Genomic DNA, 26,895 nt, shown 5'->3' with positions numbered 1-26,895 from the left:
TTTTTGGAGGCAGGGTCTCACTCTGTCTCCCAGAGTGGAGTGCAGTGGTATGATCATAGCTCACTGCAGCTTCAAACTTCTGGGCTCAAGCAATCCTCCCACCTCAGCCTCCCAAGCACCTGGGACTACAGGTATGCACCATCACACCCAGCTAATTAAAAAAAAAAAAAATTTTTTTTTGGTAGAGATGAGATCTTGCTATGTAGCCCAGGCTGGCCTTAAACGATCCTCCTGCCTCAGCTTCCCAAAGTGCTGTAATGACAGGTGTAAGCCACCTCGCCCAGCCCCAAATCACTTATTGAATAATGCATCTTTGTTCCACTACAGTAAATTTAGCCTGGTTTGTGAACTTGGTCTGTGACAGTCTATAGAGGATCCACCTACTCTCCCTGCAGTGGCACCACAGCTGTCCCATTCAGTCATCTGGCATGGAGGAGCCATTCCAGCTAAGATGTTGGAGACAGCTTAGTTGATCTCAACATGTCTGTCCTTCTGGGTACATTTTTAGCAGCGACTCTATCCCTGCATCTTGCAAAAGAGACACAAACTGAGCTCCAGGGAAGGGACTTGTGCAAGGTACCACAGACTAGAACTCAGACTGCCTGACTCTCACCTTCTGGAGTCAATTCCCTCTCTAATAATACCTCCCCTTCCTACAGGCCATTTACCTCTACATACCACATCCACACCTTCTTCTTATCTCTCTAATTATCCTCAACTGACTGGGAAGTAGCAGGCCATTATGAAGTCCTCCTTTGGGCAACCCAAAAGTTGATAAATCTGATCCCAAGCTCCCACATTTGCCTGACTTTGCAGAACATGAGAGCCCACCCCAAGAGGGATCAGGCAAAGAAAAAGGAGCATGGTGGGGGGGCAGTGGGAATTGGTGTTCTGGGTGTCTTTTCCATCTACCCTCGGTGCCATTTCTCTCCAGAGTAGTGGGATTGCCAAGCCTTGCAGAACATGGTAGGGAAGGCTCCACTGGGCAAGGCCAGATGGATCCTAGGGCCTGGGAGTGGGCTGTGAGGTCAGAGTGCTCTAATGATAGCACATCCTGCTCCTCCCCACAGATACCTGGGCAAAGAGGGCTGGGCGCCAGCATCCTACCTGAAGAAGGCCAAGGATGACCTGCCAACCCGGAAGAAGAACCTGGCCGGCCCAGTGGAGATCATTGGGAACATCATGGAGATCAGCAACCTGCTGAACAAGAAGGCGTCTGGGGACAAGGAAACTCCACCAGCCGAAGGCGAGGGCCATGAGGCCCCCATTGCCAAGAAGGAGATCAGCCTGCCCATCCTCTGCAATGCCTCCAATGGCAGTGCCGTGGGCGTTCCTGACAGGACTGTCTCCAGGCTGGCCCAGGGCTCTCCAGCTGTGGCCAGGATTGCCCCTCAGCGGGCCCAGATCAGTAAGAGCCTCGCTGACCTCTAGGTCCTCACTGCAAAGCTCCTTAGAGAATGGGCATGGGTGCCGTGAAAGCCAGGGGGGTGCACAGGACCCCCATGGCGTTTTCCTCCTGGGCTACAGACTGGCCTTTGACCCTCACTCTGTCAACTTGTGTCATGCTCATCACAGGAGTGGAGAAGGCAGAGGAGTATGATGACTCAACTGCTCCCAGCTGCTCCACGGAAGCTAGATCACATGAGGATGTGGGTGGTAGCGTTCCCTCCTCTAGTGGAGAGCCAGCAATGGTCACTCTGCAGATACACGCGTTCCAAGAGCAAGAAATGTTTTCTTTTCCTTATGGTAAAGGCTTTATAAATCAAGATAGATGATGTGTAGCTGACTTTTAAAAAATCAAAAAAACACATTTCCCTGGGCTGTTGAATGTGGGTGCTATATGCAGGGCTGCCCTATGGAGTGACAGTCTGTAGAGAAACGTCTTTCTGGGCCTTAGCAGCTCCTTCCCTATGACTTTCCACTCGTTACTGGAAACCTAAGAGACTTGGGAGCTAAGGCTTTACCACTCTACACAGGCAGTTTCAACAGGGCGTTCTTCAAGAATCATCTTCATTTCTACAGGAGACTCCAGGCAGTCTGGCACCCTCCATCTCTGGCCCAATAATGCCTTTTGTTGAGGCTTAAAACTTCCATGTTATAGGAACCTAGCTTTTGTTTGTGTCCAGCCATTCTTAAAATCTGGAGGAAAGCTGTTTCTTTAGTTTAGCTCCACTGGGTTAAGTTAGCTCTCGTGCCTGAAATCTTTTAGGGAACCAGCTGGGAAACAGTTATTGGGCACCTCCTCTTGCCTGGCATTATGCTAGCTTCTATGGATTTAATAGTAAGCAAAAAACAGACATGGTCTCTGCTCCTAACTTTGAAAACCTGATAAATCTATACACCCGTTACCCTGAAAAATGCCCACATAGCTGCACATTTTGAAAAGTGCACATAATTTTAGAGTGTTCATAGATCCCCTGGAAGCACAGCCAAGGTAAAGGTCTATAGTTTCCCCTTGAAAAAGCCCAACCACAGTGCCCATAGTGACTTAGAGTGTCAAGTCCTTCATAAAGGCTGAGCTAAAGCATGAACTTGAAGGATCAGGAGTTAGTTTCACCTAGGGAAGGCAGGTATGGGTACTGTTGCCCATCGTCTGACTAGGATTTCTGAAGCCATGTCTCTTCCTCTAGGCTCCCCGAACCTACGGACAAGACCTCCACCACGCAGAGAATCCAGCCTGGTATGTGTACTGAATTTCTTCTCCCCTTTCCTTCCTTTTCTGTGAATGCGCTATAGCCACCCGATCAATTGGCTATCTTGCGGCAGAGCCTCTTGATCCAGGGGTTTTCCAGAGCCCTGCTGGGGCTTCTAGTTTTGTGGGGCTAGGGGCAGGGAGGGAAGCCTGCAGATCCCAGCCTTCCTGGAGGCCTGGCTGGACAGTTTATAATCGGAAACACACTGCACTCCAAAGCTAAATAAATCCATCCCAGCCACTGCATTGGCAGACATAAACATTTAGACTGCCCGGCAAAAGTGTCCAGCCAGGGCATTGCCAGAGGCTGGAAATGGGGCTCCTGTCCATGCTAGCCTGGAAGCCTTTCAGCTTTCCCTGGTCAGGAATGCCCAGTGGAGGTGGTGGATGGCAGAGTCTGGGAGGGCAGAGGGCAGATCAGTGAACGTCTTCCAGGGAGGAGTGTGAGTTGCAAGGAGTGGCTCACGCCCCAGCTTTAAGAGGTTAACACTGCCAGGGTCCCTGGTTCATGTGGGTGGGGTTTCCTGGTGTCCAGACCCTCGGGCAGGTAGATACGCATCAGGGGCCAGGGCTTGGGGTGCCTGCGATGCTGGTGGCAGGCTGAGAGCCTTGGAACAAAGAACTGTTAGTAAGCGCAGTGGGATGTAGTGGAAAGAGTGTGTCTTCAAGTGCCAGGCATGGATTCGGATTCCACTTCTGACACTTAGAGGCGGAGAGACTGTAGGTAAGCCAGTTGCCCTCTACAAGCTTCAGTGCCCTTATTTATCAGACGGGACAGTACTAGCCATCTCTTAGGGCTGTTGTAAGGATGAAATGAGATGATTTATGTGGGGGGCTAGCAAACAGGTTTCCATTTCCTATGTCAGCTCTTGCCTGCTTGGTAATACTACCTGGTGCACTGGGTTAAGGAGGATTCTGAAGTCACATCTGGGCTTAGCAACAAGAGTTACTGTGGTCAGTGACATCAGCCCTGGCTAAGGGAGATGGCACCAGTCTATGGAAGAGTAGGCCCTCCATAAAAATATGGTTTTTAAAGATTTCATCCCTGGAGATGAGACCTTCCTTGCCTTGGCCATGGACCCCAGTGGAGTTTCTCTTTTTCCTCCTGAGTTTTACACACCCAAACACTGAATTCTCCCTCTCAACCATCTCTCCTAGCCACGGCTAATTATTTTCAGGCAGACTTGATTTTGGCAAGAATGGGGTAATTCCTTCCACACTTACCAAATGTGGGGATTGCTGAGGCAGGGCTGCTGTTTCCAGTTAGGCCCAGCTGCATCCCACCTGGCCAGAGATGTGGCCTGGGCTGAGCCTGGGCTGTGTCTGCTCACATGCACGGCTGCACAGCCAGGCCCTGGGGCCAGGAAAGGTGGCAGATTCTCACTCAATCCCTCAAAACCAGCTTCCTCCCACCCCTCACTCACTCTGCCTCAGCTCAGTTTCAACTGGTGGGGTTAGGACATGCAGAGCCTTGAAGGATGAGGAAGGCTGGGAAGAAGAGAAGTTCAGAAGGAGTGCTGAGTTCCAGCTTCTATTTATTGAGCTCTCCCTATGCCCCTCGCTGGGCCCAAAGTGATGTATGTTATCTCAGGGATCCTCTTCAGGATGCTGGTATTAGTTCCATTTTACAGATGAGAGAACTGAAGTTCAGAGACGTCAAGGGCTTTGCCCAGGGCCACACAGCTGGTAAATTGCTATGATTGGAGTCCAGCCCCAAGGTTGAGGTCTTTCCAGGTCTTCCTGCTACACCAAGCTTCTTCCCGTCCCCTCATCCCTCCCACCTTTTTTTCCCAATTGCTTTATTTGAACCCCTTTGCATGAGGGAGGACATAAATAGCGGGGTACAAAGTCCATTTTAGCTGAGTAGAGACAAGACCATTGAAGCAAAAATATACAATCCACAAGGGCAGGGGGTTGTCCATTTGGTTTCCTACTGGGCGCTCGGTGCCTTAGACCAGTGTCTGGCACCCAGTAGACACACAACAAACAGTTGTTAAATGAATGGGTGAGGCTCACAAACCATGGGCCAAAGCCAGCTTCTAAATGTCCTTGAATGTCATGCTTAGATGCTGCTGTGCCAGTTTCTGAAAAGCATTGAGGATCTCCAATGAGTTCTACCCTGCCCACAGAATATTGCGAGTTTATTTAGTGCTTGCCTGCCTATCTGGCCTTGTCATGATGACCAGCCAAAGACTTTGCTCACTCAACCGCACTGCCTTCTTACACACACACCCCAGACTAGAGACCACTGTGCTCCATTGCCTTGCCTGTGCTGTCAGAAGTCCCACCTGCAGCCCTCACCCCTAGACTCCAGGACAGTGGCTTTCCTTCCTCTCCCACAGGGCAGTGTGCAAGTGCTTTGTTAGAATGATTTCTCTGCTTTTTCTTTCTTTCTTTTTTTTTTTTTTTTTCAGAGACAGAGTCTCACTCTGTCAGTTGGGCTGGAGTGCAGTGGTCTGTTCATAGCTCACTGCAGCCTCGAACTCCTGGGCTCACGCTATTTTCCTGCCTCAGACTCCCAAGTAGCTGGGACCACAGGTGCATAACACCATGTCCACCTAATTTTTGTGTGTGTGTGTGTATGTGTGTGTGGTAGAAATGGGGTCTCACTATTTGCCCAGGCTGATCTCAAACTCCTGGCCTCAAGCAGTCCTCCCACCTGGGCTTCCCAAAGCACTACGATTACAGGAGATTTCTCTGCTTTTTAATTTTCATTTTGAGATTCAGCTATTGAGGCATCTGAAAACTAGACCTCCAGAGATGTAAGATTAGAAATTACTGCATTAATAATGAGCATTTTGTGCTGGGCACAGTGGCTTATGCCTGTAATTCCAGCACTTTGGGAGGCTGAGGCAGGAGGATTGCTTGAGCCCAGGAGTTTGAGACCAGGCAAAACCCTGTCTCTAGTTTTTTTCTCTTTTTTTTTTTTTTTTAAAGAATAGAATAATTTAATTAAAATGTGCAATATTTTGATGAAGAAAAATCACAAAAATGAATTGAAGGCCTGGCAGAATGGAAATAAGGTACATTTATGGATGAGAAGACTCGGTATTATTCAATTTTATCCCTAATCTGTAAATTCGATGAAATTCTAATTTAAATCCCAACACAATTTTTCTTTTTTTTTTTTTTTTTTTTCTTGACATGGAATGGTGTCTTTATTTTTGGGGGCTGCTGTAACAAAGTACCACACACTGGGTGGCTTAACAGCAGAAACGTGTTGTCTCCCAGTTCTAGGGGCGAGGAGATCAGGGTGCCGACAGGGCCTCGTTCCCTGGGAAGGCGTGGGAGGAGGACCTGTTCCCCGCCTCTCTCCCGGCTTCCGGGACTCCGGAAGCCTGACTCCAGGCTTCACGTGGTGTTCTCCCTGCTGGTGGGTCTGCCTCTGTCCTGTGTTCTTTTTTTTTTTTTTTTTTTTAAATTGATCATTCTTGGGTGTTTCTCGCAGAGGGGGATTTGGCAGGGTCATAGGACAATAGTGGAGGGAAGGTCAGCAGACAAACAAGTGAACAAAGGTCTCTGGTTTTTCTAGGCAGAGGACCCCGAGGCCTTCCGCAGTGTTTGTGTCCCTGGGTACTTGAGATTAGGGAGTGGTGATGACTCTTAACGAGCATGCTGCCTTCAAGCATCTGTTTAACAAAGCACATCTTGCACCGACCTCAATCCATTTAACCCTGAGTGGACACAGCACATGTTTCAGAGAGCACAGGGTTGGGGGTAAGGTCACAGATCAACAGGATCCCAAGGCAGAAGAATTTTTCTTAGTACAGAACAAAATGAAAAGTCTCCCATGTCTACTTCTTTCTACACAGACGCGGCAACCATCCGATTTCTCAATCTTTTCCCCACCTTTCCCCCCTTTCTATTCCACAAAACCGCCATTGTCATCATGGCCCGTTCTCAATGAGCTGTTGGGTACACCTCCCAGACGGGGTGGTGGCCGGGCAGAGGGGCTCCTCACTGCCCAGTAGGGGCGGCCGGGCAGAGGCGCCCCTCACCTCCCGGACGGGGCGGCTGGCCGGGCAGGGGGCTGACCCCCCCACCTCCCTCCCGGACGGGGCGGCTGGCCGGGCAGAGGGGCTCCTCACCTCCCAGTAGGGGCGGCTGGGCAGAGGCGCCCCTCACCTCCCGGACAGGGCGGCTGGCCTGGCGGGGGCTGACCCCCACCTCCCTCCCGGACGGGGTGGCTGCTGGGCGGAGACGCTCCTCACTTCCCAGACGGGGCAGCTGCCGGTCGGAGGGGCTCCTCACTTCTCAGACGGGGCGGCTGCCGGGCGGAGGGGCTCCTCACTTCTCAGACGGGGCGGTTGCCAGGCGGAGAGTCTCCTCACTTCCCAGACGGGGCGGCTGGGCAGAGAGGCTCCTCACCTCCCAGACGGGGTCGCGGCCGGGGAGAGGCGCTCCTCACATCCCAGACGGGGCGGCAGGGCAGAGGCACTCCCCACATCTCAGACGATGGGCGGCTGGGCAGAGACGCTCCTCACTTCCTAGATGGGATGGCGGCCGGGAAGAGGCGCTCCTCACTTCCTAGATGGGATGGCGGCCGGGCAGAGACGCTCCTCACTTTCCAGACTGAGCAGCCAGGCAGAGGGGCTCCTCACATCCCAGACGATGGGCGGCCAGGCAGAGACGCTCCTCACTTCCCAGACGGGGTGGCGGCCGGGCAGAGGCTGCACTCTCCGCACTTTGGGAGGCCAAGGCAGGCGGCTGGGAGGTGGAGGTTGTAGGGAGCCGAGATCACGCCGCTGCACTCCAGCCTGGGCACCATTGAGCACTGAGTGAACGAGACTCCGTCTGCAATCCCGGCACCTCGGGAGGCCGAGGCTGGCGGATCACTCGCGGTTAGGAGCTGGAGACCAGCCCGGCCAACACAGCGAAACCCCGTCTCCACCAAAAAAACACGAAAACCAGTCAGGCATGGCGGCGCGCGCCTGCAATCGCAGGCACTCGGCAGGCTGAGGCAGGAGAATCAGGCAGGGAGGTTGCAGTGAGCAGAGATGGCAGCAGTACAGTCCAGCTTCGGCTCGGCATCCGAGGGAGACCGTGGAAAGAGAGGGAGAGGGAGACCGTGGGGAGAGGGAGAGGGAAGGGGAGGGGGAGGGGGAGAGCTTTTTTTTTTTTTTTTTTTTTTTTTTTAGCAAATTCTTCCAGATCCTGAGAGAGCCCATCTCTACCAAAAAAAAAAAAAAAAATTAACCAGGTGTGGTGGTGTGTGCCTGTAGTCCCAGCTACTGGGGAGGCTGAAGTGGGAGGATCACTTGAGCCCAGGAGATGGAGGCTGCAGTGAGCTCTGATTACTCCACTGCACTCTAGCCTGGGTCCCAAAGCAAGACCCTATCTCAGAGTAATGATGATGATGATGATGATGATGATGATGATGATGATGATGATAGTAATAGTAATGTGAGAATTTTGATAGCTCAGACAAGTCTTCCGTGAGTCCTGAGTATTATTAGAAAGCCTCATCAGAGTAGTCCCCTGGCGATATATACCCTGAGACTCCCATGATAGATACGTACTCAGGCCAGCTGCTGTCCAGCTGGTGTAAACGGCCATCCGCACCCCCTGGGGACTGAGTGGGGACCAACCCTTGGCCAAGTTACTCTTCTGATTTAGGCGGGTTTTGCCCACTGTGTGTTCCTTAACCTTAGGGGTTCCAACTGCCAAAGCCACCAGAGCCCCCTTCTGTTGAGGTGGAGTACTACACCATTGCCGAATTCCAGTCGTGCATTTCCGATGGCATCAGCTTTCGGGGTGGACAGAAGGCAGAGGTAAGCCTTGGGCCATGAGGCCGAGGGTTTTAACTCATTGTGGTGGAAAACCTACTGCATTTCCCATTTTAGGCCTTGCTAGTAAGATTCCTGAGGGGCAGGCAGGCAGGAAAGGTACAGAAATGAGCCCCACAAAGATGAGCATCTGCCTGGCGCTGGCCAGTGCCATGGCCTAAACTAGATCCCAGCTCTCACGCTCCACCCTGAGCTCACAGGGCTTGTCTCACAACATTTCCCAGAGCATGTGCAGGAGCTTGTGACAGGGGGGCCTTGAAACAAAGGGCTTCTTTGGTCAAATGAGCTTGCAGGACAGTGGATTAAACAAAATCCAACCCATTTGTTGTTTTAATTGCAGGGCTTCCCAGAGCCTAGGATACAAGGATGTCACTGGGAGTGTCACCTACAAGGGGTCTAGAATAGACAGCATTGCCCAACCCCACAAGCTTTCTCTCCCAGGAACATCTCAGGGCCAGGATCCTGCAGAAGCCACATCAGGAAGTGTTGTTAGGAGGATGTGGACCAGGCAGGTAGACTGAGATACTGGGGACCTGGGCTCTGGCCAAGTCCACACCACATGACCCCTGGCCTTTGATGCAGTCACTTCTCTCACCCGCCACCCCCAACTTTAAGCATTTCTCTCTGCAAAACAGGGTGATAGATCCTGGGACGCCCCTCCACCCCCCAGCATGTCTTCCAGCATTCATGCCACTCTATTTTGTGGCTGGGGCTGAGCATGGTATTCCCGGCAGCAGAGAAGAGCTGTAACTTAGTCAATTCTCTGAGTGGCTTTGTGTAGTAATTGAGTTAACTCCATCTAATACAAGTGAACCTGTCAGACTCATTGGGCAGTCTCTGCCTCTAAAGCAGTGACATTCCCAATGTGAATGTTTTAAATCACATGCCTGGAACTTGCAACTAAATTTCCAAGAAAAATCATTCTCTCTGTACTGAGGTTTCCAGGAGAGTCTGTAAAGAGCATAATGTGGCAGAACTGTCAGGCTCAGGAGCCACCTGTGCTTGAACTGTAGGTACAGGGCTGGGGCAGGGTGAAGGACAGAATGTAGGACCCAAAGAAGGAGAAAATCTTTCTCTTCTAGTGGGGGATGCAGAGGACTGGTCTCTTCTTGCCTTTGCATTCTTCACCTTTCCCTCCCTCCTTGGCCCTCTTCCCATAGTGCCAGTGTTTTCACGCTACCCCTTCCCCACCCCAGGACCTTTTCCTCCAGGAGTGTCCCACAATCCCCAGTTATCTGCCCTTTATGTTCCCCAGTCCAAATGGACCCCAGCACAACCAGCAGCCACACTTTTGGCCATTGGTTGATCTCCAGAAGTTAAGGAAGAAGCTCCTTAAACCAGTTTATACTAACATGGAAATGACTGAAAGCCCCCTGCCCTTCCTACAGGAAACCAATCAACCCAAAGAAATCTCTTCAGCTAGTGGGATTTCAGTGGGATTCCAGTAAGATGACCACAGCGGGTGGATCCTGGGGAAAGGCTCTGCAGAGAGGCTCTGGCCTCGGGCCTGTACCTCCCAGGTCACTTCATCTGCATCTTCCCATACTCTTCTGACCCTAGAGACCCTTTCAAGGAACTCAAAGGGAGGACCTAGCAACATCGAGGGTACGAGGAGGGAAGGGGCAGCAGAAGGGCAGTGTTTTCTTCATACGTGTCCTTAGTCTACTGGCAGGATTGTAGGGACTGGGAACAGTGCAGTTTAGGGGGAGGCAGAGTGGGCCAGCTCAACCCGGCTGTTAACACAGACATGGAGGATCAGGGAGGGAACTTGGCAAGTGGGAACCCACCAACCATGAGATGATAGAGACCTAGGTTTGAATTCTGGTGCATTATTTACTATATTGGGTTTTGGGCCACTTACTCAGTGGCTCGGTTTATTATCTGTAAAATGGAGATAATTTATCCCAGAGCCAAAGTATGATACTCCTACCTTGGGATGTCATAGGGTTCCAGATCCTCCCAACTCACTGGCTTGTCTGCACTCGTACCCCAGGTCATTGATAAGAACTCAGGTGGCTGGTGGTACGTGCAGATCGGTGAGAAGGAGGGCTGGGCCCCCGCATCATACATCGATAAGCGCAAGAAGCCCAACCTGAGCCGCCGCACAAGCACGCTGACCCGGCCCAAGGTGCCCCCGCCAGCACCCCCCAGCAAGCCCAAGGAGGCCGAGGAGGGCCCTACGGGGGCCAGTGAGAGCCAGGACTCCCCGCGGAAGCTCAAGTATGAGGAGCCTGAGTATGACATCCCTGCATTCGGCTTTGACTCAGAGCCTGAGCTGAGCGAGGAGCCCGTGGAGGACAGAGCCTCAGGGGAGAGGCGGCCTGCCCAGCCCCACCGGCCCTCGCCGGCCTCTTCTCTGCAGCGGGCCCGCTTCAAGGTGGGTGAGTCTTCAGAGGATGTGGCCCTGGAAGAGGAGACCATCTATGAGAATGAGGGCTTCCGGCCATATGCAGAGGACACCCTGTCAGCCAGAGGCTCCTCCGGGGACAGCGACTCCCCAGGCAGCTCCTCGCTGTCCCTGACCAGGAAAAACTCCCCCAAATCAGGCTCCCCCAAGTCATCATCACTCCTAAAGCTCAAGGCAGAGAAGAATGCCCAGGCAGAAATGGGGAAGAACCACTCCTCAGCCTCCTTTTCCTCATCCATCACCATCAACACCACTTGCTGCTCCTCCTCTTCCTCCTCCTCCTCTTCCTTGTCCAAAACCAGTGGCGACCTGAAGCCCCGCTCTGCTTCGGACGCAGGCATCCGCGGCACTCCCAAGGTCAGGGCAAAGAAGGATGCTGATGCGAACGCTGGGCTGACCTCCTGTCCCCGGGCCAAGCCATCGGTCCGGCCCAAGCCATTCCTAAACCGAGCAGAGTCGCAGAGCCAAGAGAAGATGGACATCAGCACTTTACGGCGCCAGCTGAGACCCACAGGCCAGCTCCGTGGAGGGCTCAAGGGCTCCAAGAGTGAGGATTCGGAGCTGCCCCCGCAGACGGCCTCCGAGGCTCCCAGTGAGGGGTCTAGGAGAAGCTCATCCGACCTCATCACCCTCCCAGCCACCACTCCCCCATGTCCCACCAAGAAGGAATGGGAAGGGCCAGCCACCTCGTACATGACATGCAGCGCCTACCAGAAGGTCCAGGACTCGGAGATCAGCTTCCCCGCGGGCGTGGAGGTGCAGGTGCTGGAGAAGCAGGAGAGCGGGTGGTGGTATGTGAGGTTTGGGGAGCTGGAGGGCTGGGCCCCTTCCCACTATTTGGTGCTGGATGAGAACGAGCAACCTGACCCCTCTGGCAAAGAGCTGGACACAGTGCCCGCCAAGGGCAGGCAGAACGAAGGCAAATCAGACAGCCTGGAGAAGATCGAGAGGCGCGTCCAAGCACTGAACACCGTCAACCAGAGCAAGAAGGCCACGCCCCCCATCCCCTCCAAACCTCCCGGGGGCTTCGGCAAGACCTCAGGCACTCCAGCGGTGAAGATGAGGAACGGAGTGCGGCAGGTGGCGGTCAGGCCCCAGTCGGTGTTTGTGTCCCCGCCACCCAAGGACAACAACCTGTCCTGCGCCCTGCGGAGGAATGAGTCACTCACGGCCACTGATGGCCTCCGAGGCGTCCGACGGAACTCCTCCTTTAGCACTGCTCGCTCCGCTGCCGCCGAGGCCAAGGGCCGCCTGGCCGAACGGGCTGCCAGCCAGGGTTCAGACTCACCCCTACTGCCCGCCCAGCGCAACAGCATACCCGTGTCCCCTGTGCGCCCCAAGCCCATCGAGAAGTCTCAGTTCATCCACAATAACCTCAAAGATGTGTACGTCTCTATCGCAGACTACGAGGGGGATGAGGAGACAGCAGGCTTCCAGGAGGGGGTGTCCATGGAGGTTCTGGAGAGGAACCCTAATGGCTGGTGGTACTGCCAGATCCTGGATGGTGTGAAGCCCTTCAAAGGCTGGGTGCCTTCCAACTACCTTGAGAAAAAGAACTAGCAGAGGGCCTGGGCTCTTCCAGCCTCAGTGTGCCTCTCTGGCCGCCCACTGGATGAGCGGTGAGACGAACAAAAGGGAAAGGAAAAAATGGGGGTGGGGGGTGGGGGGTGGACAACATTCAACACTGCAGAATGGGTGACCTCAAAGATGCCCCCTGTCCAAGCCATCCCACAGCTGGAAGGTAGGGGATGGGGGTGCCCACACTGAGTGAGGAAGGGAATGGACCAGGGAGTCCCAGGCCTGGGACCCAGAGCCAAGAAAGCTGAGATATCCTGTGCACCATAGGGACTTCACCAATGGATTACATGCCATCTGGGACAGGCCATGTGGGAGACCCCAGTTGTGCCTTTGCTACAGATCTGGAAAAGACAAGGTCATGGGGGCCTCCAGTGTCCTGCCCCTGCTTGGCCCAGTTTTGATTGCTGGCATCTTGCCACCCCAGGTATCCCTGGTATTGTCCTAAGCTGTATTTGTGAATTGTGCTGGTTTCCTGGGCATTGCCACGCCTACCACAGGTGGGTACATTAGAAGCCACCACTGGCTTTCAGGCTTGGGGGTGTCTTCTGAGCTCAAGCCTGCTTCTGGGCCAGGCCATTGTCACTGTTAGTTGAAGAAAAAGCAGTTCCCAGGTGCCAGCAAAGACCATCTTTCATAACTGTCACTGTCTTGGCCTTGAGAAGAGAGCCCGCTCTCCGTGGGGCACCCCATGGAGGACACAGTACCAGAGTTTACAGAGAGGGTGGGCGAAGCCACCGGTCTCTTCCTAATCTGCACAGACTATTTTGGGTATTTCTGGGCGGGCAGTTCCTTTGCATGTTTCGGGAGAGGTTTGTTGATTTGGGGCTTATATGTCAGGCCTTTGGTTTGCGTCTTATTTTAGGGGTTGTTTGGGGGCCTGGGTGGTCGGCCTCACATGGGAAGGGGATGGGTAGTGGATGGGGTTTCTGTTGTATCTTGTGGGCGGGTGATTTTGCTTTTGTTTTTGTTTCACATTCTTCCCCCTCCACAAGCCAAAGTCGTTTCATTTGGTTTCCACTGTGTGGACTGTGCTGGAGCTTGGCGCCTGCCAGAAAAATTTGGGGCTAGGCAAGCCCCAGGTTGCAGACATGGTGAAGCAGAGAAACTGTTCTTCTGGTTCCTGCACAACCTCAGAGGGGCAAAAACCCTCCCCAGGAAGGAGGAGGGTGTTCAGGAGCCAGACTTTTGGAGAGAAGGCAGCTCCCAGCCTGCTGGGTGACCGCCATTCTGCGTGTGTTCCCCAGCTGGGCAGGGCTGGAAGCCTTACGTATGAAGCATGGAGAAGCAGCCATTGTCCCCACTATGGGCAGAGGGGGGACCCGGCTGGCCCCTTGGGTCAGACTGGAGCCAACACCGCCAGCCACCCCCTCTGGCCTGCTGGCAATGCCACAGGTGCCCAAGAAGATGGAGGATCCCTGTGCCAGGAGCCAACCTGGTCTTCCCGAGGGTCAGTGCCCCAGTGAAGACAGAAGCGAGAGAATAAAGTTCCCTGTAGGTCCTCTGTCACCTTTGGGTTGTGTTTTTCAATTGTTGACATTTCAGAGGGGACCCTCCAGAAGCCCAGCCGGCTTCCCCCAAGGACTCCCCCTTCGCTGGGAGTGGATTTCCACACGTGCCTTTGATTTCGGACAGATTGGGCCTCACAGCCACCGATTCAGCTGCCAGGGTCCCTGGACTGGGGGTTGGTGTTTTCTATAGAGGAGGAAAGGCCCTCCCTCACCCTGCTCCCCACCCAGGCAGGGCAGCATGGGACCCAGTGTCTCAGTGCCTTCAAAACCCACCCCCACCCCTACCCTACCCCACCACACCCCATCCCAGAGGCCTTGCCTGGGCAACCCTAAGCCCCTGTCCCTCGCCATACACTGATGCCTGGCAGCTAGAGCAAATGGCTCGTGTTCTTTGTCGAAGGCCTGTGGTGAGATTGTTTTGTTTCCTTTTGTTTTGTGAGTTTGTTTAAAATTGAAATTAGTTATTTTCTTCTGCTGGACAGTATTAAATAGAGCAGGATGTTGAGTTAATCTGCTAGATTGCAGTACTAATGGTAGTGGTTTAGTGTCTTCATGTTAATATTATTTGTACTTATTTGAACAATAATGATAAAGAAGTGGTTCATTATTTTTTAATTAATGCACTTTAAATAAGGTAGAATGGAAAAAACCCAGAGAGCAAAGTGCATTACTTAAAGATGCAGTATATACTTTTCTCATTTTTAAACAGCACATATTTATTAAGAGAAAAAAAGTAATTTATGACTATTTAAAATAAAATTTAAAAGTAGAGTGACTGTCAGGTAAAGAACCTTCAATGTAGCTATCTTCCAGGGGGAGGGCCCTGCAGCCTCGCTCCTCAGATGTCTGCACTGAGCCAGTTCAGTCACTAGTGCGCCAGCCAGGCCAGGAGGGAGTGCAGAGCATGTCTGCCAAGCACAGAGCATCTCAGTTGGACTGGACCACAGTGCTCCCGAGAGCCTGCCTTTCCTGCCCTTCCCCACCACCTGCACTGCCCCCCACATTCTCCCAGCCCCCCCCAAGGACCCCCTCTCCTTGACCCCCAGTGCTGTAAGTAATAGAGTCATTAAAATGCAGGACTGAAAGAGACCTCAGAGGTCTCTATCCCATCCCTTCCTGTTACTGCGGCCCAAGGACAGGAAACAACTTTTCCAAAATCCCACAGCTAGTTAATGACAGATCTCCCCACTACATTAATCCCGTGCTCCTCCTCACTGCCATTATAGTTTATTGTGTGGTCATGTTTACATTGTGACATCCAGCCCCAAGGATGGCTGGGAGTTGCTCAGGCATCCAGGAAAAGTGGGGAATGCTGCCATCTGGTGACAGCATGTAGATTTGGGCAGTGAACAGGGATTGCCATGCCCCAGTCTTCGCACCTCGCCCCCTCACCCCCTAACTCACAGCACAAACCCTGCAAACCCAAAGAGAATATTAATACTTGAAGCAAGAAGGGTGCATGCCAGTCCTTCTCCGACATGGCCAGGGGGTACCAGGCCTTGTGCGCCTGGCCTCCTAGCCCTAGCCAGGGCGAGAGGGCCTTTCCCTTGAGCTACTGAGCTGCTTTGTGATGCTGAAGGATACTGCCGGCAGCAGGCAGAGGAGGGAGGGGGCCTAGGGCTCTGACCCATCTGGAGGAAAACCAGATCGGACTAAAAAAGGAAAAAGAAAAACAAAATCTCCGCAGTGTCCAAACCTAGTTTCCCATGAGTTGCGACTGAAAATGTGAAACGACACTGTATTGCTGTATACTGCAACTTTAACCATAATGAGCCCTTCTGAGGTCATTATTGAGGTTCATATAATGCCCGAAGATGCAGCATTTGGTGCTTTGTTTTCCTTTCCGTTTCAAGACCTTTTTCTTTTATTGCAAGGGGAAAAAAATGTCATCTCCCCCCACCTCATCCCTCTTTGTGACAGCAGACCTGGCTGTGTTGCCCCTCTCCTCCTCACTATTCTCACCAGGCCATGGGACTTTGGGGGCAGTGAGAGAGAGCTGGAAAGGGGCAACCCTGAGCAGCAGGTGTGCCCCATGCCCTGTGGGTTTCCCCTATGTCCAATGACTGTAGACGGGCTGTCTTGCCAGGCCTCAGCCCCGTCTACCCTAAGCCTGGCCCCAAAGGTTTCTCTTTCTTCCTCCTTGATTTTCCATCTTGACGAAGGCATTATATAGAATCATTTTAATCACTTTCAGATGTTAGAGCAGCGTATTTTACAGGCATTTATATCCATTGCTTTCCTCAGCAAGGCATGTTACTACTTTTATCATCTAAGGAAAAAAGACAAGGGAATTCCAGTCAGGCATTATTTTCCTATTACTAGTGTTTGCAGAATAGGTGTAGGACTATTTAAGTTTAGACCTTGGTTTGGTAGTTCTTGTTTTTAATAAGGGGAAAAAGATAAAATAACCCCTATTTTTCCTGTTATTGTATTTAACTAATATATTATTTCTTTAAGGTTACTCACTTCCCCTACCCCTCCAAATACCTTGCATTCTCAATCAAAAATGGAAACAATCTGAGAGACAGGAAAAGTGCAATATTACCAAGATGGATGCCAGGGCTCATTGGGGACAATGGAGGGAATACCAGTGGCGCTCAGAGAGCAAGAGGCAGGGAGCGGGGTGCTGAAGGAATCCTAGCTGTGGAACAGGTGGGTGGGTTGGTGGAGTTTGATCTTGTGGCGTTCTCCTCTCCCCCTTCTTTGGGAAGATGATAGGGGTCCCTGCCAGATCCACCCAGAAGAAAGGGATTCAGGCATGGGGCCCTTGACCTCTAGGCCCCAGTCCCTGGAGCAGAGGCAGGCCCTCGGGAGCTGTTCCTTGTTTTGATTTCTGTTGTGGTGCAGCCAGCTGCTCAGAGAGACCTGGCCTAAAAATGACTCCCAGCAGCCCTCTCTCACCCCAGTGTCCTGATATTTGGGCTGTGATCCTTCTGGTGTATGTTTGAATCTTTCTAAAACTGGGTGCCCTCAGTTCAGTTTCTAGGCAGGAAGCCTAGAAGTCACCAGATCTTTTTGGGGGATGTGAGAACCTTGAGCCGCGCACACCCTGGTGAGACACCAATTCCCACAAGCCTGCAGCAGGGCCTGGGGCTGAGCCTGGGCTGCCCATTCATCTCAGCGACTTCAGCCTGAGAAGTGAGCCCTGCCTGGGCTCCACACCCAGAGAGTCCATACAAATTCTGCTCCGGGAAGAGTCGGGGGGTCTATTCAAGTTTCTCTGCAGACAAAACTTCCCACAACAGGTACCAATCTGGCCTCCTTCCTCAGCACCGGTAGAGAAAGCAACAGAATGGGAAGTTTCCTCTGGGTTGGAGCCTCAGAGCTCTGCCCCTCAAGGTGACAGGGACGTCCCTGTGGCTTGTTCCCTCCACCTCCAGTACTGTATGCTTGCTACTTCAACCCCCTATTTGGTGAATTTCTGCACAGACACAGATCTCTGTGCCTGGAATGGGACTGTGCCCTGTGCGGGTCTCTCCCTTGGCGTATATCCATCTAGATATTTAGTCTTTGAGAATCTCAAAGCAGAGCTCTCTGGGAAGAGAACTGTCCACATTGCTAAATAATTAAGATTCCCTCACTTTTTTGAGGGCCATGTGTTGTGAGAGAGAGAGAGAGAGAGAGAGTGTGTGTGTGTGTGTGTGTGTGTGTGTGTCTGTGTATGCAAGTGTTGGTAACTTCCCACTTGAACTAAATAACATGGGGTTAGAGAAAAAAAAATACCAGGCAAGCTGTCTCCATTGAACAAGTCCTTGGCAATGGGCAGGTCCCAAGGGACTCACAGCTTCTGGCAGCAAGTGTGTCATTCACACACATCATTCTGGCTGGAGAGTGCAATGTGTCATTTTTTTTTCTTTTTGTAATTATTTTATTAAGTATTTAGTTGGAAATTTCACACTGGCATTAACAGGTCTAGCATAAGTGGCCTAGGCAGTCATCCCAGGCTCCAAAATGAAGATGTGCAAAAGAGATGCCACTGGGAATAGAAACACTGAGTTGGTTCAGTTAGGTCATCCCCTGCAGACGTGTCATCGAGCAGGCTGACTCCCACCCCTCAGCCATGCCATGGGTATGAGAAGCCCCTTATAATGAAAGCTGCCAGCCCTTTCGTCCTTGTTTCAGAGGGTGGGTCAGGTGGTTGGGGTGAGAACTTGCTCACGGTGCACCCAACAAGACCTGCAGGTGCATATAAGTTTAGTCCCAACTGCAGGGCCAGACCAAACACTTCCTGGGAAGTGTGTGGAGGGCTGTGCTAGACCTTCCTGAGTTTCTGGCTAAATCATCAGCCCTGTTTGGTGCAGTCTCATGTCTCTGTGGTTCCCAAGCTGCATGATCAGAGCCAGTGAGAAGACAGGATCAGTGACCCACAGCTTTGGGGAAAAACAGCCCCACTGTTAACTTCCCTCCTGCAAACCTGGGTCCCCAGGCCATAAGGTGGGCACACTGGTGCTTACAGACTGGGTGGAGAGCCCTACCTTCCAAGGTCTTGATCCCAGCCTGCCTATAAGGTTGGGATTAGCATGCAATCCCCCTTCCCCAATCCTGTCTTTTTAAAATCTCAAGTTTGCACTTAACCTTGACAACAGCACCCTCTCCTACTCCAGTCCTAGAACTCAGTGGCCTTAGAGAATGGGGTCCCCTGCACTGAAGGTCCCCGCCTTGCTCCCAGTTCCATCCTGGCCAATAGGCTGCGCCTCAAGAGGTGAAAGAGAAAAAAGGGAGGGAGGGAGGAAGAATTATTTAGAACAAAAGGATGGCTCGAGCACGTTAGAGGCAAGTGAGAGGCACGTTGGTGAGAAGAGCATGTGCATGTTTGGGGTAGCTGGGGCCTACTGTCCCTTCATTAGGGAAGGAGGCTTCCAGAAGCGGATGTCTTCTAGAAAGAAAAATTGTGTGAAGGCTGAAAAGGGGCTTGGAGTTTTGTCTTTGTTGATTAGAAAGAAGGAAGAAGTCAGCTCTGAGTGTTTCAGGAAGAAGAGAGCAGGTAGAAAGGGAATTTAGTGATTTAACACCCAAGGGTCCAGCCATAGCAGGTTGGAAAATCCTCCAAATTTGGCCACAGAAACTGGCTAGGAAAAAACTGCCACTCATTGGGCCACACGCTGGGTCCCCATCAGTTCTCAATGAATGGTCATTGATTTACTTAGCAGAGAGAAGTCACCAGCCACAAACCAATCTTTGAGTTTGCAGGCCCTGATTCCAGAATATATGCATCCAGCTCCCGGGTTCTCAGCTGGTTTTGCCCACTTCCCTTTGACTGTCCAATCCAAAGCCAGTCTCTCAAGTTGTATGGCTCAAAGAGCAGTGACCACAATGGGTCATACAGTAGGGACCCACCTCCACAAATTAGAACCAGAGTTCAGACTCCATTGGGCACATCTGGGAGGAAGGCAACCTCCTTTGTCGTCTTGTTGGTACCAGTCATTCTCAAGTATCTCTGACACCTGTGGTGGTTCAGTTTGCTGAGCCTGCCACCTGGTATGAATTAGACTGGGTGTGATGAACATTCATCCATGGATATACCCTACCATTTTGCGTTGCCTTATAACCAAGGCACACTCCCCATAAGAGTTTACTGCAGAGAAAGAACAGCAAAACAGCCACCCTCCTTGAATTTACAACTCATTATCTGCAACAGGTTTTCTTTAAATCCAAGACACAGGATGGGAAATGGGTTTCCCCACCAGGTACTCAGAGGTCTGCAGGAAGTGACTCCCGGGCAAGGCAGACTTCAGTAATCCCTGAAGCGTGAGCATGTGGACTGCATGGCTGGGTGGGGACTGGTGGATGTCTCTGGAGCTCCAGAACCTTGGAGAATTCCTCATGGAATTCCCCTCCCAGCTCTTAGTGGGCTCTGTGGGGTCAGGAGGAGCCCTTCCTCCAGGTTTTCCTTCTTTCCTCCTCAGCAGAGAAACTGGAGAAAGGACATTAAACTCAGTGCAGTCGATTTGAGTGCTGAAATATTTCCAGAATCAATGGTGGTGCTAAACTATCTCCATGTTTCTAGCATTTTTAATAGTGGAGTTGGTTTGTTTTTAATCTCATCACAAAAATGCAGTGCCCTTGGGGAAGGGACCAGCCCCTTGGCCTGCCACTTTCCAGGTGTCCTTTATCACTTTGACGGGACTCTTTGGTCTGCAGAAAATGCTCTGTCTTGGCATGCTTCTAGACTGTAAGATTTGGGTTTTGTTTTGTATTTTATGTTTACATGCATCTTATATTTCCCTGAAAACTAAATAAAGTTTTGGGCCTTTTTAACCGAACGGAATCACCTCTTAATTCTCCCTGTCACCAAAAACACCCATCCAGCTGAACAGCCAATGTCCCATTATCCCAAATTGCAAAGTGGACTTCAGGATCCCAGGGCCCTCTGAAAGAAAGGACACTGGAGGGTGGGGGCAGGTAGGTAAGCTCTCGCTTTTTTTTTTTTTTTTAACAGGGTCTCACCCTGTCACCCAGGCTGGAGTGCAGTAGCATGATCATAGGTCACTGCAACCTCGACCTCCCTTACTCAAGCGATCCTCCCACCTCAGCCTCCTGAGTAGTTGGGACTACAGGCGCACCACCATGCCCAGATGATTTTTCTATTATTTGTAGAGACAGGTTCTTGCTATGTTGCCAAGGCTGGTCTCAAGCTCCTGGGCTCAAGCAATCCTCCTGCCTCAGCCTCCCAAAGTCTGGGATTACAGACATGAGCCAGCTCTCACTCTTGGTGAGAGCTGTGGTCAAGCTCCTCCAGCCTCTTCCCCACTTTTGGGAGGCTTTCTGGGCAGTGGCCAAGGCTTTGAAAGATGCAGATCTTGGGGCCAAGGACCCACATCCAGCAGGCCTAGCTGGCTCCTTAGCATGGCCCCCCGACCCTCTCCTGCTTTTGCTGGACCCCAGTAAGCAGGACCAGGTAACCCTGATGCAAGGAACAGGCCATGGCTGTGCAAGGCCATGCAGAGGCTGGGTAGCCTGAGCATCCTCCCTGGAACAGGATGGGCAGGCAGGTATCCCATGTGCCTCTGAGGCCTGGTGCTGCCAAATGAGCTCAATTCCAACACTGTGCCTAGACCTTGGGGCCAGTCTGGCTGCCTCCTCCCCACCACCCCTCTCCCCTCAGCCTTCCCCACCACTCGGATCACTTAGCGCATCTAGAACACTTCTCTAAAGGACTCTATCCAGAGGCTTCCCTTTTCTCCTCAGTGGCACCACCCATTTGGTATAGGCCTCTGCACCCACCAGTGGGAACACAGCTGAACTCCCTCCAGATGTGGGGGTCTGAGCCTGGGGAGAGGGGTGGAAGCCTTGTTCCTGGGGAGCTCAGAGCACAGCCCCTGATGACCTGAGTTGACCACTTGTCATCCTCCCATTAGCCCCCTAGGTGGCACTGCGCACCCCCCTACAAGCGGCAGATTTGAGCCCTGCTCAGCCTTAAGGAGAAGCCCCATCCCAGGGCACCTTCCCCACCACACCCTGCTCCTCACAGATGCAGTAGCCTCTCCCAATTTGCAAGGCTCACCTGGCATTCTAGACCCAAGTCACGCTCCAGCCCCCGACTCCAGGGAGTCTTCCCTGATTGCCCCAGCCCACCTTGAAGCCTCAGAGGCCTGCAATTACCCCTCAGGGAAGGGCCACAGCTCCTGATGACTCCCCTAGTATCCAGGACACCAGGCCTCCACACCCCAGCCTGCCCCCACATGTGCACGCACACGCTGGCCCTCCTTCCCCAGTGCTCTGCGCACAGCACCGCCCTCAGGCTGGTACGAAATCACTTTTATTCACAATCACAGCGACCCAAGTGCACAAGGGAAGCAGCAGCCACCCCTGCACTGACAGAGGTAATGAGATGATGGCTTCCTCTCCCCAACCCTCAGCCTCTGGGATCCCTGGCTGGGGGGCCCGCTAGCCAGCCCCCGCTCCCTCCCACACAGAAGGGGTCTCCCAGGGTCAGTGACTGGGTAGTGGAGACCCATAGTGGGACAGTGACTTCCCCACACACCCACTGCAAGGCCAGCACAAAGGCCCAGCCTGAGGTCCTGGCACACCACCCCCTGGCAGCCCTCACGGAAGAACTCCCGAGTCACACAGAAAGCCTGCCCCTCTCTCCCGAAACAACCATTTTATAGAAATGGAAGCTGGGCTCCAGGGGGCTACGACTCGGCCAGGGCCACACAGCTGGTCAGTGGCCAGGACTAAAACCCATGCCCTGCCTGCCACACAGAGGTGCAGTCTCTGATGGATGCAAAAAAAAACAAAAACAAAAAGCCATCTGAGGGGGCAGAGGGCTGGGAGGCTGGGAGAGCCCAGGCCAGGGCAGGCAGGGCTGAGAGGACCGACCTCAGCAGGTGGGGCGCTCCCTCCCCAGAACTTAGAGAACCTGGAGGTGTGAGAGGCAGCCCTTGCCTCCTCATCTTCCCTACGAACAGGCTCCCTGCCCCGCCATCACAAGGTCTCCCTGTCCTGTTCCTGGCCCACACTAGGAACACTGGCCCTCCTGGAAGTTTGACGTCCTTATGGAGGGGGGACCTCCTGGGCCACCTGAGGTACCTAAGCCAACCATGATAACCCAGCTCTGGCCCAGGAGGAAGGGTGCTCTATGGCTCTGGGTGACCATCAGCCCCAGGGCACTAAGGAGGCTTGGTTTGCCTCTCTGTAAAATAGACACTGTTTGCCAAAAGGCCTCCCAATTTGGCCCCTCCTTATGGAGTTCCAGTTCATGATTGGTAGGGCTGGGTATGAGCTTTGTGGCTGGAGTCAGGGGAAGATACTGCATTATGACTGCCTCAGCCACACCCTTTCCCAGGTACCCCACACACAAAGGCAGCATTTCTAGGGGCCCAGAGGATGGGAACTCACCTACAAACAAACAAACAAAAAAAACCCAAAACCACAAACCAAATAAATAAATTAATTAAACTGAGGAAAAAGGCTGGTCTTGGCCCAGGGAACCCACACCTCCCCACCCAGGGCCCTGGCCCATCCCAGGTGTGCCACAGGCTCTGACTATCAGCCTAGGCCCTGGACAGCACAAGATATGGGGAAAAGGTCAGAGAGGGTAGCTGCAAACCTGTTCTTAGGGACCCTGGCAGAAGACCAACCCTTCTCCCCAGCCCATACCGAAGGGCTACCCCTGGGCAATGGCATCCAGCGAGATGATTGGGGCAGGAAGGCTACAGCCAGGACAGGATCCTCCCCTTCTCAGCCAGGGGCCCAGAACCTGGAGCCCTCTGCAGCCTGTCCATGTGCCCATCAGGTAGTGGGAGAGAGACATGGCATGAGGCTGCAGCCTGCCCAGGACGGGAGGCAACCACCAGCCTCTCACCCCCAGCTGCCATGCCCAGTGGGCAGGGAACGAAGAAAGAGAAGGTAGGCATAGGTCAGAGAGGGAGACAGCAGCTCAGGAGCGGCCTGCCCAGGGCGGTTGTTGAGCAGGCTGTACACTGCTCAAGGGCAGTTGGCTGAGAGGGCAAATGAGCCTAAAATCCACTCCATGCTGCACTAGCCAGGCCACATGTCCTGGCTCAGGGCTGCAGCTGCCCAGAGGAAGGTACATGTTTTCTAATTCTCACAAAGGTGCCACATGGACTACAGACACCTCCTAGAAACCTGCCTCAGATGGGGAAAGATTAGGGCAGGCTGAGATCCCAATTTAGCCCTCAGCATGCAGAGAGGAGCTGGGTGCAGAGACGGGAGAGACAGGGAGAGTGCGGCCTCCTCTCCTCCCCTCCCTCTGCCCGGTGATTTGCCTCTGCCCCCTCCCTGCCTGATACCCCCCTCTCCCCAAACCTTCAAGGGCTTCAGTTTCCCATGTTTAATAGAGGAGGAAAAGTTTCCAAAATGAGGAAGAGAAGGGGCCCCACTGGCTTGTTCCTCAGCTGGGACTGGGCTGAAGCCCGAGAAGATGGGTATGCGGGATGGGCCACCGCAACGGGCTAGGAGCTGCGGTAGGTCTTGATGATGTCCTTGATGGGGCGGCGGCAGATGGGGCAGCAGGCGTGCAGAGCCTTCTTGAGGCGCAGGCCACAGGCGTAGCAGAGGCACATGTGGCCACATGTGTAGATGACCGTGTCCACCGCGTGTTCATAGCAAATGGTGCACTCATCGCTCCACTGGCCCAGACCTGGGGTCACTGGCGACTCGGGCAGGCTCACTGGCGAATTGGGGGCTGTCCCTGAGGACAAGGGGGCACCAGTCAGGAGGAGACATGGCCCAACCCGGCGCTGGATTCACGGGAAGAGAGCTCCCCGGCCTCTTGTGTCCCCCTCCATTTATCAGGATCTGCCTGTTCACCCTGACAACCCAACTTCCAGGGCACAAGGGAAGAGGCTGAGCTCTGAGCAGCCCCACTTCTGACCCACTCCAACCCCAGATGAGGGGACAGAGTGGCTAGGAGGCAGTGAGAGAAAAGAAGGCAAGATGGAGGAAGGAAAGGGTCCAGAATCTTTTAAGGTAGGTCCCTCCTGAGCTACCCTTTGGCACTGCCCAGCTAGGGGACAGGAGGGGATGACCCCAGAAATCACCCCCCAACAAGGGTTTACTGAGCCCAACTCCAGCTCCTCTCCACTCCCAGCCCCGGACACAAAGGCTGCATCCTTGCTGCAGTCCCACATGGTCACCAAGGAACAGAGGAGCCAGCCTACTTACCACCAGCAGAGCTACCCAGAGGGCCAGAGCTGCACGTGCTGAGCAAGGGGTCAGACAGGCGGCTGCCCAGGGCACTGGGCGAGGTTGGCGTGGAGGCAGGGGAGCAGGGGAGTGATGGGATACCCCGCTCGGCCAGGATAGTGGAGCCTGTGAAAGGGGAGGGAGGGAAGGACACACTAGCTGCCTGCCCAGGCCAAACTGGAGAAAGCTCTGTCCCTCACAGTGGGTTCCCAGGCCTGACCACACAGCCCAGCCACAGGGCCAAGAGCGGGATTTTGCAGGCTGGCGCGGGGATCATTTGATATTACCGCCGTGGAGTATAGCTAATCAGCTAAAGACTTTGACCCCAGACAGCACCCAGCCTGGCCTCTGTTCTCACCTATGAACTGGAGGGTCATATCCTGCTTTCTTCTTGTTAAAACAGCAGCTCCAAACTAGGCCCCTGCCTGGCACCTACCTCCGCCCCTCCCCATGTATGCTTTCTGCAAAGCTTCCTGGGCCGGAGCATGTATATTACCATCTCCCCTGCCCCGCAACCTCACCCTCCTGTTCGGAGCCCTGAGCTCTTCACCACTGTCCCCAGATATCACCCACCTTTTCTGCATGGCACCTCTGCAGTGCCTTCACTTTTTCCCACCTTGTTCTGATCATAGATTCTCTCCTCCCCTCCTTCCTCCTTCCGTCACTCACTTCCTCTCCTTTTTTTTTTTTTTTTTTTCAGACGGAGTCTCGCTGTCGCCAGGCTGGAGTGCAGTGGCACGACCTCGGCTCACTACAATCTCCACATCCCAGGTTCAAGAGATTCTCCTGCCTCAGCCTCCTGAGTAGTTGGGATCATAGGCACATGCCACCACACCCAGCTAATTTTTTAATATTTTTAATAGAGACGGGGTTTCACCATGTTGGCCAAGATGGTCTCCATCTCCTCACCTCGTGATCTGCCAGCCTCGGCTCCCAAAGTGCTGGGATTGCTGGGGTGAGCCGCTGCGCCCGGCCTTCCTCTCCTTTTTAACAATCCTCGCCTCCCTCTTTCCCTCCTTCCTTCTCTCCTCCCTTCAACAAATCCTTACCAAGGACCTACCAGGCATCAGGCCCCGTGCAGACAGAAAGCTAGAGACAGCCCCTGACTTCAAAGAGCTGGCTGTCCAGGGAGCCTCTGACAGCTGTCCTCAAACTCCTTCCTCTGGGCCGCCCTGACTACCCCCAGACCACATTACTCCCTCAAGTACACACACACATGCACTACAGACATACAACTACACAACCACAAAGGCTGGGGTAATATTTGTTCTGTGCCCAGGACTCCAGTTTTGTTTCTCCAGTGAAACCATGAGCTTTCTTTTTTTTTTTTTTTTGAGACGGAGTCTTGCTCTGTCGCCCAGGCTGGAGTGCAGTGGCGCAATCTCAGCTCACTGCAAGCTCCACCTCCCGGGTTCACACCATTCTCCTACCTCAGCCTCCTGAGTAGCTGGGACTACAGGCGCCTGCCACCAGGCCCAGCTAATTTTTTTTGTATTTTTAGTAGAAACGGGGTTTCATCATGTTAACCAGGGTGGTCTCGATCTCCTGACCTTGTGATCCACCCGCCTCAGCCTCCCAAAGTGCTGAGATTACAGGTGTGAGCCGCCGCGCCCAGCCCATGAGCTTTCTTAGAACAGGAAATAGTATTCACCTGTGACTCTCCTACAAATCCTAACATAATGCCCTGCACACACCTAAGTGCCCAATGAGATCTTTTTTATCTGTAGTTATTCTAATTCATTTAGTTGTGTTATTATTTCTAAGAATATTCAATAGATGCCCACAGGGTTTCTCTTACTGTGTTAATATTTTTCCAAGTTAATTATCATCTCCTTCTTTCAGGAATTCACAACTCCTATTTACTTTTCTTGCCTTGTTGCATTGGCCAGAATTTTCAGAACAACATCTGTAAGCCATCTCTATTATATTCCTGACTTTCATGAGAATATTTCTGATGTTTCACCAATAAGTATGGAACTGGCTGTATGTTTTGTGATACACATGAGTGAAGGAAATAACCTTCTATTTTTAGTATACTTAGGCTAGCCACAAAGCCAAGCATTCCTCTATAAGGTTAATAATGACCCTTCATACATTGCCACTGGTTAGTTATTCTTTTGAAGTCAGTCAGGATCTTCAAACACCAATTTGCTGGTTGTGATGCCCAATTTTCCAAACAGATCAGGAGCACTTTGTTGAATGTATATTGAATTCTGGGTGGTTCTTCTTCAACACCCACCTTGGCCTATCCTCCTCTTGGGAGAGAGAAATCTG

At 52.8% G+C, this 26,895-nt stretch overlaps 2 protein-coding genes across 12 annotated transcripts in view, besides 3 other annotated features; one reads left to right on the top strand and one right to left on the bottom strand.

Moving 5' to 3' along the window:
• SH3PXD2A (SH3 and PX domains 2A) overlaps positions 1–20,234 on the top strand; it is a 261,550-nt gene extending 241,316 nt beyond the window's left edge. For all 11 annotated transcript variants that reach the window (NM_014631.3, NM_001394015.1, NM_001394020.1 and 8 more), the window contains 4 exons: positions 1,071–1,408; positions 2,631–2,680; positions 8,344–8,463; positions 10,472–20,234. In NM_014631.3, the coding sequence (NP_055446.2) occupies positions 1,071–1,408; positions 2,631–2,680; positions 8,344–8,463; positions 10,472–12,445 (2,482 nt within the window). In that variant the 3' untranslated portion in view covers positions 12,446–20,234. The remainder of the gene's footprint in view (positions 1–1,070; positions 1,409–2,630; positions 2,681–8,343; positions 8,464–10,471) is intronic.
• Positions 6,040–6,897: an enhancer, noted in NCBI's record as "NANOG-H3K27ac-H3K4me1 hESC enhancer chr10:105367121-105367978 (GRCh37/hg19 assembly coordinates)". NCBI's record gives its function as "activates a minimal SCP1, AML or CMV promoter by ChIP-STARR-seq in naive H9 embryonic stem cells {active_cell/tissue: H9 hESC(naive)}" and the evidence as "EXISTENCE:reporter gene assay evidence [ECO:0000049][PMID:30033119]".
• Positions 15,115–15,409: an enhancer, noted in NCBI's record as "tiled region #15000; HepG2 Activating DNase unmatched - State 12:CtcfO, and K562 Activating DNase unmatched - State 12:CtcfO". NCBI's record gives its function as "activates a minimal TATA promoter and a strong SV40 promoter by Sharpr-MPRA in HepG2 and K562 cells {active_cell/tissue: HepG2 | K562}" and the evidence as "EXISTENCE:reporter gene assay evidence [ECO:0000049][PMID:27701403]".
• Positions 21,555–21,849: an enhancer, noted in NCBI's record as "tiled region #3797; HepG2 Activating DNase matched - State 18:Pol2". NCBI's record gives its function as "activates a minimal TATA promoter and a strong SV40 promoter by Sharpr-MPRA in HepG2 cells {active_cell/tissue: HepG2}" and the evidence as "EXISTENCE:reporter gene assay evidence [ECO:0000049][PMID:27701403]".
• The window catches only part of NEURL1 (neuralized E3 ubiquitin protein ligase 1), a 98,842-nt gene continuing 93,661 nt past the window's right edge, over positions 21,715–26,895 (bottom strand). The window contains exons 5-6 of the mRNA NM_004210.5: positions 24,601–24,747; positions 21,715–24,127 (exon numbers count right to left, since the gene is read on the bottom strand). Of these exons, the coding sequence (NP_004201.3) occupies positions 23,889–24,127; positions 24,601–24,747 (386 nt within the window). The 3' untranslated portion in view covers positions 21,715–23,888. The remainder of the gene's footprint in view (positions 24,128–24,600; positions 24,748–26,895) is intronic.

Source organism: Homo sapiens, chromosome 10 (genome assembly GCF_000001405.40).
Source record: "Homo sapiens chromosome 10, GRCh38.p14 Primary Assembly".
In the NCBI taxonomy this organism is placed as follows: domain Eukaryota; kingdom Metazoa; phylum Chordata; class Mammalia; order Primates; family Hominidae; genus Homo; species Homo sapiens.
This window is presented reverse-complemented; position numbering and strand designations above follow the sequence as displayed.